Source organism: Homo sapiens, chromosome 12 (assembly GCF_000001405.40).
Source record: "Homo sapiens chromosome 12, GRCh38.p14 Primary Assembly".
Taxonomy (NCBI): Eukaryota; Metazoa; Chordata; class Mammalia; order Primates; family Hominidae; genus Homo; species Homo sapiens.
In genome coordinates this window covers 110505351-110520833 of record NC_000012.12, presented here as the reverse complement: position 1 = coordinate 110520833, position 15483 = coordinate 110505351, and the positions used below count along the sequence as shown (strand labels likewise).

At 40.7% G+C, this 15483-nt stretch overlaps 1 protein-coding gene across 17 annotated transcripts in view, besides 1 other annotated feature; it reads right to left on the bottom strand.

The window, feature by feature from the left end:
* The window catches only part of RAD9B (RAD9 checkpoint clamp component B), a 31226-nt gene that overhangs the window by 12723 nt on the left and 3020 nt on the right, over nt 1-15483 (bottom strand). For 9 of the 17 annotated variants that reach the window (XM_024448860.2, NM_001286535.2, NM_152442.4 and 6 more), the window contains 7 exons: nt 15062-15217; nt 14141-14255; nt 7956-8055; nt 5678-5784; nt 2052-2158; nt 1896-1960; nt 918-1040 (listed from right to left, as the gene is read on the bottom strand). In XM_024448860.2, coding sequence (XP_024304628.1) covers nt 918-1040; nt 1896-1960; nt 2052-2158; nt 5678-5784; nt 7956-8055; nt 14141-14255; nt 15062-15118 — 674 coding nt within the window. In that variant the 5' untranslated portion in view covers nt 15119-15217. Of the gene's footprint in view, nt 1-917; nt 1041-1895; nt 1961-2051; nt 2159-5677; nt 5785-7955; nt 8056-9250; nt 9407-14140; nt 14256-15061; nt 15218-15483 lie in introns of all 17 variants that reach the window. The other 8 variants (NM_001286534.2, NM_001286533.2, NM_001368055.1 and 5 more) reach the window with 5 other exon arrangements.
* Nucleotides 5302-5545: a silencer, noted in NCBI's record as "fragment chr12:110953094-110953337 (GRCh37/hg19 assembly coordinates)". NCBI's record gives its function as "represses an EF-1alpha promoter that drives an FKBP-Casp9 reporter gene in an ReSE screen in K562 erythroleukemia cells {active_cell/tissue: K562}" and the evidence as "EXISTENCE:reporter gene assay evidence [ECO:0000049][PMID:32094911]".

Sequence of the window (15483 nt, the reverse complement as noted above, 5' to 3'; positions counted from 1 at the left end):
ACTAAAAACACAAAAATTAGCCAGGCGTGTTAGTGCACACATGTCATCCCAGCGACTAGGGAGGCTGAGGCAGGAGAATTGCTTGAACCCAGGGGGTGGAGGTTTTAGTGAGCTGAGATCATGCCACTGCACTCCAGCCTGGGCAACAGAGTGAGATTCTGTCTCAAAAAAACAAAAAAAAAACAACAAAAAAAAAAAAAAAAAAGAAAGCAAGAAAGCAATGGCTATCCCTATATCTGAGCAAAAGTTCTAGGAAGTGAATATAGACTTTCCTGTGAAAACACTATATTACCCCTAAAAAAAAACAAAAAAAAAAACTAAAGGCCCGATGTGGTGACTCACACCTGTAATCCCAGCACTTTGGGAGGCTGAGGCAGGTGGATGGCTTCAGCCCAGAAGTTTGAGACCAGCCTGGGCAACATGGTGAAACCCTGTCTCTACAAAAAAAAATACAAAAAATTAGCTGGGTGTGGTGGCACATGCCTATAGTCCCAGCTACTTGGGAGGCTGAGGTGGGAGGACCACTTGAGCCAGGGAAATGGAGGCTGCAGTGACTTGAGATTGCGCCAGAGCACTCAAGCCTGGGCAATGGGAGTGAGACCTTGTCTAAAACAATAACAACAACAACAACAACAACAAAAACTAAAAATTGGAATTGAGTTCTGGGAAACAACACAGATAAACCAGACAGTCTTGTTCAATTCTGGTCAGAACAGAAAAAGCAAATATCTGACACGAGATTGGTGATGTTTCTATGCTACAGGTAAGTTTCACTACAGCTCTTCTGTATTCAGTCAAAATTTGTTAACTAATATTTCACTCCTCAATTGTTTCCTAAGTGAATGCAAGTGAATTATTTCAAAATAAGATTATGATGGCTTGTCCCAAGTAATAAAGAAGTTAAAACACAGTCTTACCTTTTTCGTTTCTGTGAAAGACACAGTGACTGTGGTGAAGATGCTCTACTTTGTTCATCAGCTAATGTGGCCAAAATAAAGTTAGCTTCCACTAACATATCATCAATACTCAAAGCCAGAGGTCTAAAAAAGCCAAGTCAGAGCAACAGTGACACTCATTTTCTGATGGACATTAGAAACACATTAGAAATGATACTTAATTCTGGACTAAAAAGAAACAGGGGAGGCCAAGGCGGGTGGATCATCTGAGGTTGCGAGTTTGAGACCAGCCTGACCAACATGAAGAAACCCCGTCTCTACTAAAAATACAAAAAAAAAATTAGCCGGGCATGATGGTGCATGCCTGTAATCCCAGCTACTCAAGAGGCTAAGGCAGAAGAATCACTTGAACCTGGGAGGCGGAGGTTGCAGTGAGCTGAGATTGCACCATTGCACTCCAGCCTGGGCAACAAAAGCAAAACTCCATCTCAACAACAACAACAACAACAACAACAACAACAACAACAAACAGTAGGCCGGGTGCTATGGCTCACGCCTGTAATCCCAGCACTTTGGGAGGCCGAGGCTGGTGGATCTCTTGAAATCAGGAGTTCAAGGCCAGCCTGGCCAACATGGTGAAACCCCGTCTCTACCAAAAATACAAAAATTAGCCAGGCATGGTGGTAGACGCCCGTAATCCCAGCTACTTGGGAGGCTGAGGCAGTAGAATTGCTTGAACCCGGGAGGCAGAGCCTGCAGTAAGCCGAGATCATGCCACTGCACTCCAGCCTGGGCGACAGAGTGAGACTCCGTCTGAAAAAAGAAAAAAGAAAATTTTAAATGCCATGTTTTAGCATCTTTCAAAATTTTAGTTTGATAAGTATTAATAGTAAAGTTTAGGTATTCCTGAGGTGTTAATTAATTTCAAAGTGATCCAAAAGGTTTTGTTATTGATATAAAACAAAAGAAACAAGCTCAGAAAAATTCTCAAGGACCTACTTCCCAGGGAAATCAAAATAAATGGATATAGGAGCATGTGTAGCTTCTGAAAATGTCAGTATTCCCTGAAAAAAGAAAAGAAGAAAAAAACTTAAAATCCTTATAAAAACTTACAGTGAAAATTTGAATTTTAAATTGATACAAATCTTTATTTACCTTCAATTCTTTGAAACAAAATGTTATCTCAGTGTCCATTCCAATTTGAAAGAAGTCAAACTCATCTGAGCCAACAAACATCTCACTGTGTACAGCATTGCTCAAATCTGTTTAATATTATGGGAAAATAAAGAATAAAATTAGTTCCAGAGATGAATTTAGAGGAAAAAAGAATTTTTCTGGTCTCCCAAATCCCATCCCATTTCCTCCTGCCCTACGTACCCTAACTTCCCCACCTGATATCTGCATGCTATTTTTAAATGCCTTTGTTCAAAAGAGAAATTTAATATTTTACATTTCTCTTAAACTACCCAATGATTCAGGGTCTATAAGTCCATTTCACATAAATTAAACTGTTTATGTTTAAATACCAGATTTCTTATCTAAGTTAATTAATAAATTTTTTGTTTTCTTCTTTTTGAGAGAGGGTCTTACTGTGTTGCCCAGGCTGGAGTGCAGTGGCATGATCACAGCTCACTGCAGCCTTGACCTCCTGGGCTCAAGTGATCCTCTGCCTCAGTCTTCTGAATAGCCGGGACTACAGGCATCTGCCACTTACATGCACATTTTTAACTTTTTTTTTTTTTCTTTTGAGACGGAGTCTCACTCTGTTGCCCAGGCTGGAGTGCAGTGGCACAATCTCGGCTCACTGCAAGCTGTGCCTCCCGGGTTCACGCCATTCTCTTGCCTCAGCCTCCCGAGTTGCTGGGACTACAGGCGCCCACCACCACACTCGGCTAATTTTTTGTATTTCTTTTAGTAGAGATGGGGTTTCACTGTGTTAGCCAGGATGGTCTCGATCTCCTGACCTCGTGATCCACCCGCCTCAGCCTCCCAAAGTACTGGGATTACAGGCGTGAGCCACTGCGCCTGGCCATATTTTTAAATGAAAGTACAATCTTACCCTACATACCATTTCATAATCTACCCAATAATATATCAATATATCTTGGCTATTTTTCCATGTCAATAAGCACATTTTTATAATTATTTGTGTGTGTGTGTGTGTGTGTGTGTGTGTGTGTGTGTGTCAATGTTTTGTGTTTTCCACTACAAAATTGCTTCATTAAACCTCTCTGATACATACCCTCAGAGAGAGAGGAATGTATTTATACATACACATATAACATTACTTTAATGTTTTTATTATTTTTTTTTTGAGATGGAGTCTCATTCTGTTGCCCAAGCTGGAGTCCAGTGGTGTGATCTCGACTCAGTGCAAGGTCCACCTGCCAGATTCTAGCGATTCTCCTGCCTCAGCCCCCTGAGTAACTGGGACTATAGGCACACACCACCACGTCCAGCTAATTTTGTATTTTTAGTAGAGAAAGGGTTTCACCATGTTGGCCAGGCTGGTCTCAAACCCCTGACCTCAGGTGATCAGCCCTCCTCGGCCTCCCAAAGTTCTGGGATTACAGGCATGAGCCACCACGCCCGGCCCATTAATTTTTTTTGAGACTGGGTCTCACTCTGTTGCCCAGGCTGTAATACAGTGGCATGATCATAGCTCACCTGCAACCTTGAAATCTTGAGCTCAAGTGATCCCCTTGCCTCAGCTGCTGCAGCATAGACTACAGGTGCATGCCACCATACCTGGCTAATTTTTTATTTTTGTAGAGATGGGATCTTGCTGTGTTGGCCAGGCTGGTCTGAACTCCTGGCCTCAAGCAATCCTGCCTCAGCCTCCCAAAGCACTAGGATTACAGGGGTGAGCCATTGTACCTGGCCAATGTTACTTTTAATAGTTTCATAGTATTTCATTATCTTCACTCAATCTCCTGTTGTGAGATCTAAAGTATAGAAGGAGATATACCCAACTATTAAAAGTGCTTATCTCTGTATAGTGGGATATCAGGTGACTTAAAAAATTTTTTTTGTATTTTTAATTTTCTTCAATGAATATCAATTATATAAGTAGTAAGAACAAAGATTGAGTGATATATATATACATATTTATTATTATTATTATTTTAGACAGAGTCTTGCTCTGTCGCCAGGCTGGAGTGCCGTGGCGTGATCTTGGCTCACTGCAACCACCGCCTCCCAGGTTCAAGTGATTAATCCCCTGTCTCAGCCTCCCAAGTAGCTGGGACTATAGGTGCACACCACCACGCCCCACTAATTTTTTGTATTTTAATAGAGACGGGGTTTCACCATGTTGGCCAGGATGGTCTCGATCTTCTGACCTCATGATCCGCCTGCCTCAGCCTCCCAAAGTGCTGGGATTACAGGCGTGAGCCACCGCACCCGGCCAAATGATATATTTTTTAAAGGATCAAACAATGTCTTAAATATACATTCATCTCCAACAAGAAGGCTCATGTCACTCCTAATATACTAGCATAGAAGAAGTTTAATAATAAGATTAAACAACTAGATTGCCAGTCAACTATAACTTCATTAGAAAGCTACTCACAAGGGACAGTTTCTCCTGGCTACTAAATGGCCATCTTTATTCAGAGATGGCATGATGGTACATAAAACAGACCCTTTCACTAGGCAATTTGTGACACCAGGCAAGCCACAGTTTCTCTGTGCTTCAATTTTTTTTTTTTTGAGACAAGATCTTGCTGTCTTGCCTGGGCTGGAGTGCAGTGGCACAATCATGGCTCACTGCAGTCTCAAACTTACGGGCTCAAGCAATCCTTCCACCTTAGCCTACCAAGTAGCTGACACTACAGGTGTGCACCACCATGCCTGGCTATTTTTCTTATGTTTTGTAAAGATGAGGTGTCACTATGTTGCCAAGGCTGGTAACTCCCCTCAAGTGATCCTTCTGCCTCAGCCTCCCAAAGTGTCCAACTGCTTCATATGTGCTTTATATGTGCTTTCAATTTCTTCATATGTAAAATGGGGATAATAATAGTACCTACATACATCTTAGAGTTGTTATGAAGATCAAATGACTTCATAAATGCAAACTATTTAGAACAGAACCTGGCACAAACACTACAAAAGTCATGTGACCCAACTTAAGCCCTGGTTTTTCACTTTAAAATAATAGTTCTTTCCTTTGTATCCTCTCCTTACTGCTGTCACCAAAAACATATTATCTAAGGTCAAAGAGTCTCAAACAGCTTGTTGTGCCAAAAGACCGTAGCAAATTTTCTTTTTTCTTTTATTTGAGACAGAGTCTCTGTCGCCCAGGCAATGGAGTGCAATGGTGCAATCTTGGCTCATTGCAACCTCCACCTCCCGGGTTCAAGCGATTCTCCTGCCTCAGCCTCCTGAGTAGCTGGGATTACAGGCCTGAGCCACCACACCCAGCTAATTTTTTTATTTTTAGTAGAGATGGGTTTTCGCCATGTTGGCCAGGCTGGTCTCGAACTCCCGACCTCAGGTAATCCACCTGCCTCAGCCTCCCAAAATGCTGGGATTACAGGCGTGAGCCACAGCACCTGGCCCCATTCTCCTAGTTTTAAAACACCCTGAATTTCAAAGCCAAATATTTTAATTGCTGATTGTGTTAAACTTGTTGGATCTCTTAAAGCTTTTTCCAACCTTTCTACATCTTACTGCTTTTTAGACAGGAATAAAATTATGTCACTAATATTTGCAGTATGGTTAGTAATCGAGAGACAGGAAGTAATAACCCATCAAAACACCATTTCAGATACAATCTTTACCCATTGATTCCTCATTAGAACTCTTGAGGCAAAAATTCAGTGGAGTAACAGCAAGAGTAACTTCCTCTTGACTTGATGTAAAAAGAACAATGGCATCAGCAAGCAATCTATAAAATGTAAAGAACAGTATTAACATTATTTGAAAAACAAACAGAAAGACATACCTTATTAACTGGGACTCAAATCTCTAATCTGGAAATAAATAATTACTTGGCCTGGGTTTAGAAAAATTTACCCAAACTCCTACCTTCTTTCTTATACATAGCTGCTATATTTTCAGCATATTTTAAAATTATAACTTCATTTGAAGGCCAAGAGAATAGCAAAATATATCCTTAGTAAAACACATGAACGCTGCAGTACAAACAAAATTCCAGAATAAAATATCTTTAATTATATGTTTTTGTATGCCCAGTTACTTATGCCCTAGATCATACTGTAAAGGGAGATACTGGAAAGTGAAGCTGTTCAAAAACAACTCAGGTGAATTATGCTGGAGACCTAGATGTGGGGGCAGAGGTTTCTAAGCAGCCTGCTGCCTATATTCTTTCCCTTTGCTCCTTTCCTCGACTGTTACCTGTTGCTTTCAAGGTTCTCTTGACATCCCAAATGCCCTTTTATTCTGGCTCCTTTTTTCAAAAACAGTTTTATTGAGATATAATTCCCATATGACATAATTCACAGATTGAAAATTGTTTGATTTGCATTTCCCTAATGACTAATGATGTTGGGCATCTTTTCAGGTGCTTACTGATATTTTCTTTGAAGAAATGACTATTAAAATCCTTTACTTATTTTTTACAGCTGGGCTGTCTTTTTATTATTGTATTATAAATTCTGCACTCCTTTTGACATTGAGATATTATTAAGATAAAATAAAATTCTTAGAATTTATGTAATCTTGTTGTTAATCTGATGTTAGACATTGGTTTAACGGTGTTTCTTGCTATCAAAATGTCAGGAACACCTACAAAATTCATTTGGGAACTTTTCCAGTGTTAAGCGGGGGCAGTTATACAAGATACCAAATAATTTGATACAAAAAAAATGACAACATGAATGGGCAATTCAAAAAGGAAGGGAGGAAGGAAGGAAGCAAGGAAGGAAGGAAGGAAGGAAGGAAGGAAGGGACCAGATGTGGTAGCTCACGCCTGTAATCCCAGTACTTTGGGAGGCTAAGGCAGATGGATCACTTGAACTCAGAAGTTTGTCTCAATCAGCCTGAGCAACATGGCGAAACCCCGTCTCTATAAAAAAATACAAAAATTAGCCAGGCATGGTGGCTTGCACTAGTAGTCCCAGCTACTCGGGAAGCTGAGGCACAAGAATTGTTTGAACCCAGGAGGTGGAGGTTACAGTGAGCCAAGATCACATCACTGCACTCCAGCCTGAGCAACAGAGGGAGACTCTGTCTCAAAAATAATAATAATAATAATAATAATAATAATAATAATAATAATAATATAAAAACAATATGGATAAAATATCATTTGGCTCACAAAGTAATGTTCATTAATGTTTAATGCTACAGCTGAACTGAAAACTGGATGCACTTTCAAATAACAGGTTTCAAGTTTCAAATTTCAAGACATATATGCCTTACTCATTATCTAGAGGAAAAAACTGTTAATACTTAGGGCCAAAATCATTTCACATAAAAAATGTTAAAATTTCCTCAAGCTCTGTGTTTTAAGATTCAGACAAGAACCATATAAATGCAACTTGATATAGAAAGCCACTGATGGGGTGTTTTTAGAACTTTCTTGGGTCACTAAATTATTATAGCTACCATTAGTTATTATCCACTATTATCTTTAACAAAGTTTCCTCTTGTCCCTGTATGGTGATTTCTCCAAGTCAAATTTCAGCTTAAAAAAAAAAAATGTAATGGCAGGGCGTGGTGGCTCACGCCTGTAATACCAGCACTTTAGGGGGCCAAGGCAGGTGGATCACGAGGTCAGGAGATCAAGACCATCCTGGCTAACACGGTAAAACCCCCCGTCTCTATTAAAAATACAAAAAAATTAGCCAGGAGTGGCGGTGGGCGCCTGTAGTCCCAGCTACTCGGGAGGCTGAGGCAGGAGACTGGTGTCAACCCAGGAGGCGGAGCTGGCAATGAGCCAAGATCGCGCCACTGCACTCCAGCCTGGGCGACACAGCGAGACTCCATATAAAAAAAAAAAAAATGTGCCGACTGAAAAGCTCTAGGGCATTGATTCTTCACTCCATGATCATACTGTATTCAGGTGAAAAAAACTGACAACAGAGAACTCATTACCTTGGTTGAATCATTAGCGTATTAGTACAAACATTCTTGTCAAAAATAACTTGCAAAGGCTGACTTTCTTGAAAACATATATTATGAGTTCTTTTAATACCTTAAAAAGAATAAAGCCACCTCTTAATAATTTTAAGTACAAAACTAACAAATTAAAGAAGTCTTTAAGTTTCACAGCCAAATTAAAGTAATAAAGTAACATTTACTATCTGGCAAGTGCATATACCTTGGAGAAGCACTATTCCTTAATTAAATGTGTTTATCGCTCCCTAGTGGACACCAAGCAATATGTCATACCTTCTGACCAATCAGGCAGGAGAGTTCCCAGACTCCTTTGAAATACAAGCAGTTTCCTTCTTCTTCTTGTTCTTCTTTTGTTAATATATTTTTATTGATACATGGTATTTTAAAATATTTATGGGGTACATGTGGCCAGGCACGGTGGTTCATGCCTGTAATCCCAGCACTTTGGGAGGCCAAGGCAGGTGGATCGCTTGAGGCCAGGAGTTCAAAACCAGCCTGGTCAACATGGCATAACCCTGTCTCTACTAAAAATACAAAAATCAGTCGGGCATGGTGGTGCATGCCTGTAATCCCAGCTACCTGGGAGGCTGAGGCACAAGAATCACTTGAACCTGGGAAGCAGAGGTTGCCATGAGCCAAGATTGTGCCACTGTACACTCCAGCCTGGGTGACAGAGTGAGACTCTGTCTCAAAAAGAAAAAAAAAAAAAAGGCCAGGCACGGTGGCTCACGCATGTAATCCCAGCACTTTGGGAGGCTGAGGCGGGCGGATCATGAGGTCAGGAGATAGACACAATCCTGGCCAACATGGTGAAACTCCGTCTCTACTAAAATATAAAAAACTAGCCGGGCGTGGTGGCATGCGCCTGTAATCCCAGCTACTTGGGAGGCTGAGGCAGGAGAATCACTTGAACCCAGGAGGTGGAGGTTGCAGTGAGCCGAGATCGTGCCACTGCACTCCAGCCTGACAACAGAGCGAGACTCTGTCTCAAAAAAAAAAGAAAAAATGTATGGGGTACATGTGACAGATATTTTGTTACATGCACAGACTGTGTAATTATCAAGCCAGGATATTTGGGGTGTCCATCACCTCAAGTATTTATCATTTCTATGTGTTAAGAACATTTTAAGTCCTCTCTTTTAGCTACGTTGAAACACAGAATACACCGCTGCTAACTTATAGTCACCCTACTCTGCTACCCCACATTAGAACTTATTCCTTCTACCTAACTGTATGTTTGTACCTACTGACCAACCTCTCTTCATACTCACCCACACACCATTACCAGCCTCTGGTATCTACCATTCTACTCTCTACCTCCATGAGATCAACTTTTTAGCGTCCACATTGTGAGAACATGCAATACTTGACTTTCCATGCCTGGCTTATTTCACTTAACATAGTGACCTCTAGTTCCATCCACGTTGCTGCAAATGACAAGATTTCATTATTTTTATGGCCAAATAGTATTCCATTGTGTATATATACTACATTTTCTTTATCCATTAGTCCACTAATAGACACTTAGCTTGATTCCGTAACTTTGCTATTATAAATGGTGCTGCAATAAACACAGGGATGTAGGTATTTCTTTGATATATTTTTTTTTCCTTTGGATAAAGACTCAGTAGTGGGATTGCTGGATCATGTGGTACTTCTATTTTTAGTTTTTTAAGAAATCTCCAAAATACAGGTAGTTTCTTAAATTGCGTGTAAAATAGTGATTGCAGACTACAGATCATATCTCTATTACTCTCTTTCAGTACCCTCCATCCAGGACTGATATTTCTAAACAGGACTTTTGACAGATTTCAACATCTGGTTTGTTAATTCTTTTCTTTTCTTTTCTCTCCTCTTCTCTCTTCCTTCCCTCCTTCTTCCTTTCTCTCTTTCTTTTTTTTTTGACAGGGTCTCAACCTGTTGCCAAGGCTAGACTGTTGTGGTGTGATCTCAACTCACTGCAACCTCCAACTCCTGGGCTCAAGTGATCCTCCCATCTCAACCTCCCCAGTAGCTGGGACTAGAGGCGCACTCTACCACACCTGGCTAATTTTTGTATTTTTGGTAGAGACAAGGTTTCTCCATGTTGCCGAGGCTGAATTATTGTCCTTTTAGAGGAAGAGGAGAGGTAGCAATAATGAGTATGAACCTATGTGCCAGGAACTGTAGCATACATATTACATACATTCTCTCTGATCCTCACAATATCCCTGTGGGGTAGCTAGGATGGCCTCACTTTCATGTCTGGGGCCTCAACTGGGACAACTGAGATGGCTAAGGCCTCTCACCTATTCTTTAATCCTCCAGAAAGCTATTCCATGCTTGTTCTCATGCTGGTGGAAAGGTTCTTAGGGCAACAGTGGAAGCTGACAGGACTCAGCTCGGAACTCACACAATAACACTTATGGTGCATTCTACCGGTATCAAAGCAAATCTAAGGCCGGGTGAAATTCAAAATGAGGAAACATCTCCAGGTATTGAAGGGAGGGGCTGCAGATAATTGGTGACAATTTTTTTTGTGATCTACCACATAAGGGACTATTTTAGGAGCTGGAACTAGCAGAGAACAAATCAGACAAAAATCTGTCTTCACAGGGCTAACATTTTACAGAGGGGAGATAGATAGCAAGAAAATAAATGAATAAAACAGTAGGCAAGGGAGCAGGGCATACACCCTGAGGAGGAAACATGCCAGGGCTTCTGAATCATGGAGGACCTTATAGGCCATTCTGAGATCTTTGGCTTTTACCCTGGGTAAAATGGGGAGCTACTGGGAGAGTTTTGAGCACCGAAGTGACATAATATGACCTATTTTAAAGGGATCACTGTGACTGCTGTTTTGAGAAGACACAAAGCTCAAAAGATGACATATTTTACGTATTTAAAAAATATTTTCAAGTTACTTTTGGTGGAATAGGTAATAGATGCACATGGGACAAAATGCAAAAGATATAAAAGAACAGTGAGAGTGAGTCACCCTCCATCCCTGACTCCTGCCACCCTAGAACCTACACAGAAGCAACTACTGCTACCAGTTTCTTAGGTGTTCTTTAGAAATAACCTATACATATATAAGTGTGTTTATACCTGTATAACAAATATTTGAATCAAGTGAATATTGGTATTGCTGAGGATGTGCAAGCTGAGAAGTGTCTTTTCTTTGTCATCCCCAATGCTCTATTCTTGCTACTTGTTTTCTTCCTTTTTTCTTATAAGCACACACTAGACACCCTCAACCGGTATTTTTTCACACTTCTCCTTCATCTTAGACTGCCATCCCAGGCTGGGCATGGTGGCTCACACCTGTAATTCCAGCACATTAGGAGGCTGAGGCAAGAGGACTGCCTGGCTCAGGAGTTTGAGACCAGCTTCCAAAACACAGTGAGACCTTGTTATCTATTAAAATTTTTTTAAAAATTAGCCAGGTGTGAAAAAAAAATTAGCCAGGTGTGGTGGGCGTGGTTGCTCATTCCTATAATCCCAGCACTTGGGAGGCTGAGGCAAGCAGATCACTTGAGCCCAAGAGTTCAAGACCAGCCTGGGCAACATGGTGAAACCCCATCTCTACAAACAATATAAAAAATTAGGGCCGGGCATGGTGGCTTATGCCTGTAATTCCAGCACTTTGGAAGGCCAAGGAGGGCAGATCACGAGGTCAGGAGATCGAGATCATCCTGGCTAAGACGTTGAAACCCCGTCTCTACTAAAAATACAAAAAAAAAGTTAGCCGGGCATGGTGGCAGGCGCCTGTAGTCCCAACTACTCGAGAGGCTGAGGCAGGAGAATGGCGTGAACCCAGGAGGCGGAGCTTGCAGTGAGCTGAGATCGCACCACTGCACTCCAGCCTGGGCGACAGAACCAGACTCCGTCTTAAAAAAATTAAAATAAAAAAATTAGCCAGGTATGGTGGCACGCTCCTGTGATCCCAGCTACTCTGGAGGCTGAGGTAGGAGGATCACCTGAGTCTGGGAAGTCAAGGCTGCAGTGAGCCAAGATCACGCCACTGCACTCCATCCTGCTCCATCCTGGGTGACAGAGTGAGACTTTGTTTCAAAAAAAAGAAAAGAAAAGAAAAGAAGCTGCACCCTGGATCAAACCATGGCGGTGGCTCATGCCTGTAATCCCAGCACTCTGGGAGGCCAAGGCAGGAGAATTGCTTGAGCCCAGGAGTTTGAGACCAGCCTGGGCAACATGACGAGACCCTGACTCTACAAAAATTAAGAACAAAAACAAAAACAACCATGCCTGTGACTTAATTTTGAATTTTTTGTTTACATGAGCCAATACTTTATTTTTTAAGCTAGTTTGAGTTGGACCGTCTGTTTTTATTTGTTACTTGTAACCTAAGGCATAGTATCATATAACTACCCTATAAAAACCATTAAATAATTAACCAATCACAAATACTTACTGGACATGACTCAAGTAAGCTACTTGAGAGATACTGAATACCAAGTATTCACTTTCTGTCTAAAATCTAGTTGGAGATAAGGAAAGAGGATAATTATAGTAACAGCAATCACTAACAAGTACTCCCCCTGGGGCAGGTACTGCGGTATGTACTTTACATATGTGATCTCACTTCATCCTCACAATCACCCCGTAACTTGTGGGTAGGCATGATCATCTCCACTTCACAGTAAGGAATGAAGATTCAGAGAGCTTATGCACTGTCCCAAAACTAATAAGTGGAGAAGAATTTACACGCACATCTTTGTGATGTCAAGGCTTGCTATGCTTTTAATCATGCTCTTTGAATCATTCTGCTATTAAATGAACTGAAGTTCAAAGAAGGAAAAAATAATGTTAAATTATTAGTATTTTATAGGAAACAATTTAAAGACTATAAATATATGCTGAAATAAAAATATATTATAATAAATGTAAGATTAAATTAAGAAATACAGCCAGGCGCGGTAGTTCACACCTGCAATCCCAGCACTTTGGGAGGTCAAGGCCGGCAGATCATCTGAGGTCAGGAGTTTCAGACCTGCCTGACCAACATGGTAAAACCCCATCTCTACTAAAAATACAAAATTAGCCGGGCATGGTGAAGCATGCCTGTAATCCTAGCTACTCAGCAGGCTGAGGCAGGAGAATTGCTTGAACCCAGGAGGTAGAGGTTGCAGTGAGCCAAGATCATGCCATTGCACTCCAGCCTGGGCAACAAGAGCGAAACTCCATCTCAAAATGAATATATATATGTATATATGTTATACATTATGTATATAATATTATGTATATATGTATACATAATATGTATTATGTATATATTATACATATATAATACATATATATTTAATACATATATTATGTATTATATTTAATACATATATTATGTATTATATTTAATACATATATTATGTATTATATTTAATACATATATATTATACTTAATACGTGTTATATATTATATTTAATACATATATATTATATATTATATTTAATACATATATTATATATTATATATAATACATATATTATATATAATACATATTATATATATAATATACATATATATAATCAAGCAGCTAGTAAATTTTAGAACAACCAATTGCTTGAATTCATACGGATATTTGAAAAAAATTAGGCTGTATGCAGGCAAAGCTTGTGCCACTGACAAGTCAAAAAAAGAAATAATACCGATCATCTTACAATACTTCTACAGTGACAGGTAAGATAATACTTCAGGCCAGGTGCAGTGGCTCATGCCTGGCTCAGGCCAGGTGCAGTGGCTCATCCCAGCACTTTGGGAGGCCGAGGCAGGTGGGCAGATCACCTGAGGTCAGGAGTTCGAGATCAGCCTGGCCAACACGGTGAAACCCCGTCTCTACTAAAAATACAAAAATTAGCTGGGCATGATGGCAGGTGCCTGTAATCCCAGCTACTTGGGAGGCTGAGGCGGGAGAACTGCTTGAACCCACGAGGTGGAGGTCGCAGTGAGCTGAGATGGCGGCATTGCACTCCAGCCTTGGCGACAGAGCAAGACTCCATCTCAAAAAAAAAAAAAAGGATAATACTTCAAACTGCCCTACCACTTAACTACACACACTCTAAGCAATAATGTAACGAGAAATCTTGACATGAAATATCAATGTTCTAAACATGAAAACTATTGAGAAAAAAACATAGTATTTTAAACCACTTTTAATTATACCTACCATGTCTGTAGAAGAATTGAATAACTACTTTGCATTTATCAGATCTGGTGAATATTCTGCACTTCTCTATATTTCTTTCAAGGGAATTCAGACATCTAAAGATGGGCAAAATTGACTGTAACAGAAATATACATATTAAGCACATACTTAACATGGTTGATTCATTTTAGAAACAAAAGTATATGCATTCATAAATGAACAGACTTGGCCAGGCGCGGTGGCTCACGCCTGTAATCCCAGCACTTTGGGAGGCCGAGGCGGGCGGATCACGAGGTCAGGAGATCGAGACCATCCTGGCTAACACAGTGAAACCCCGTCTCTACTAAAAATAGAAAAAATTAGCCAGGCGTAGTGGCGGGCGCCTGTAGTCCCAGCTACTCGGGAGGCTGAGGCAGGAGAATGGCGTGAACCCGGGAGGCAGAGCTTGCAGTGAGCCGAGATTGTGCCACCGCACTCCAGCCTGGGCGACAAAGCGAGACTCCGTCTCAAAAAAAAAATGAACAGACTTGGCCAGGTGCACTGGCTCACGCCTGTAATCCCAGCACTTTGGGAGGCCGAGGTGGGCAGATCACTTGAGGTCAGGAGTTCAAGACCAGCCTGGCCAACATGGCGAAACCCTCATCTCTATTAAAAACACAAAAATTAGCCAGGCATGGTGGCACACGCCTATAATCCCAGCTACTTGGGAGGCTGAGGCACAAAAATCACTTGAAACTGGGAGGCAGAGGTTGCAGTGAGCCAAGATTGCACCACTGCACTCCAGCCTGGGTAAGAAAGCGAGACTCTGTCTCAAAAATAATAATAATAATGAACAGATTTGTCCTGAATGCCATTTAAACTATTAAGTATAGAATACAGGTTATGTCCTATATAATGAATATTTCTACAGAATAAGAGAAAACCAGGGCCACTTATATTTACCTTCATTCCCAATTTGCATTTTAAATGCAGTGTTGTGTCAAGTTCATTTTCACTCATTTTCACTAAAGCTGACCATTGATAATGCTGAAAAAACACAGGAGAGAACAGGACACATCCATATGCTGACCGAGAAGAATTCACACATCTTAGAGCAAGCTAGAAAAATAAGATAAAAACTATTTAGGAGAGGTTGCGCATGGTGGCTCCCATGAACCTGTAATCCAAGCACTTTGGGAAGCCAAGGCAGGAGGATGGATGGAAGCCAGGAGTCTGAGACCAGCCTGGCCAACAGAGCAAGACCCCACCTCTATTTTTTTATTTTAAAAAAATTTAGGAGAAAATAAACTTTCTTTACATAATAGCTTGATTCAGAAAACGTCATTATGTTTAACATCACAGTTAAATGTGTTCAAATAAGAACA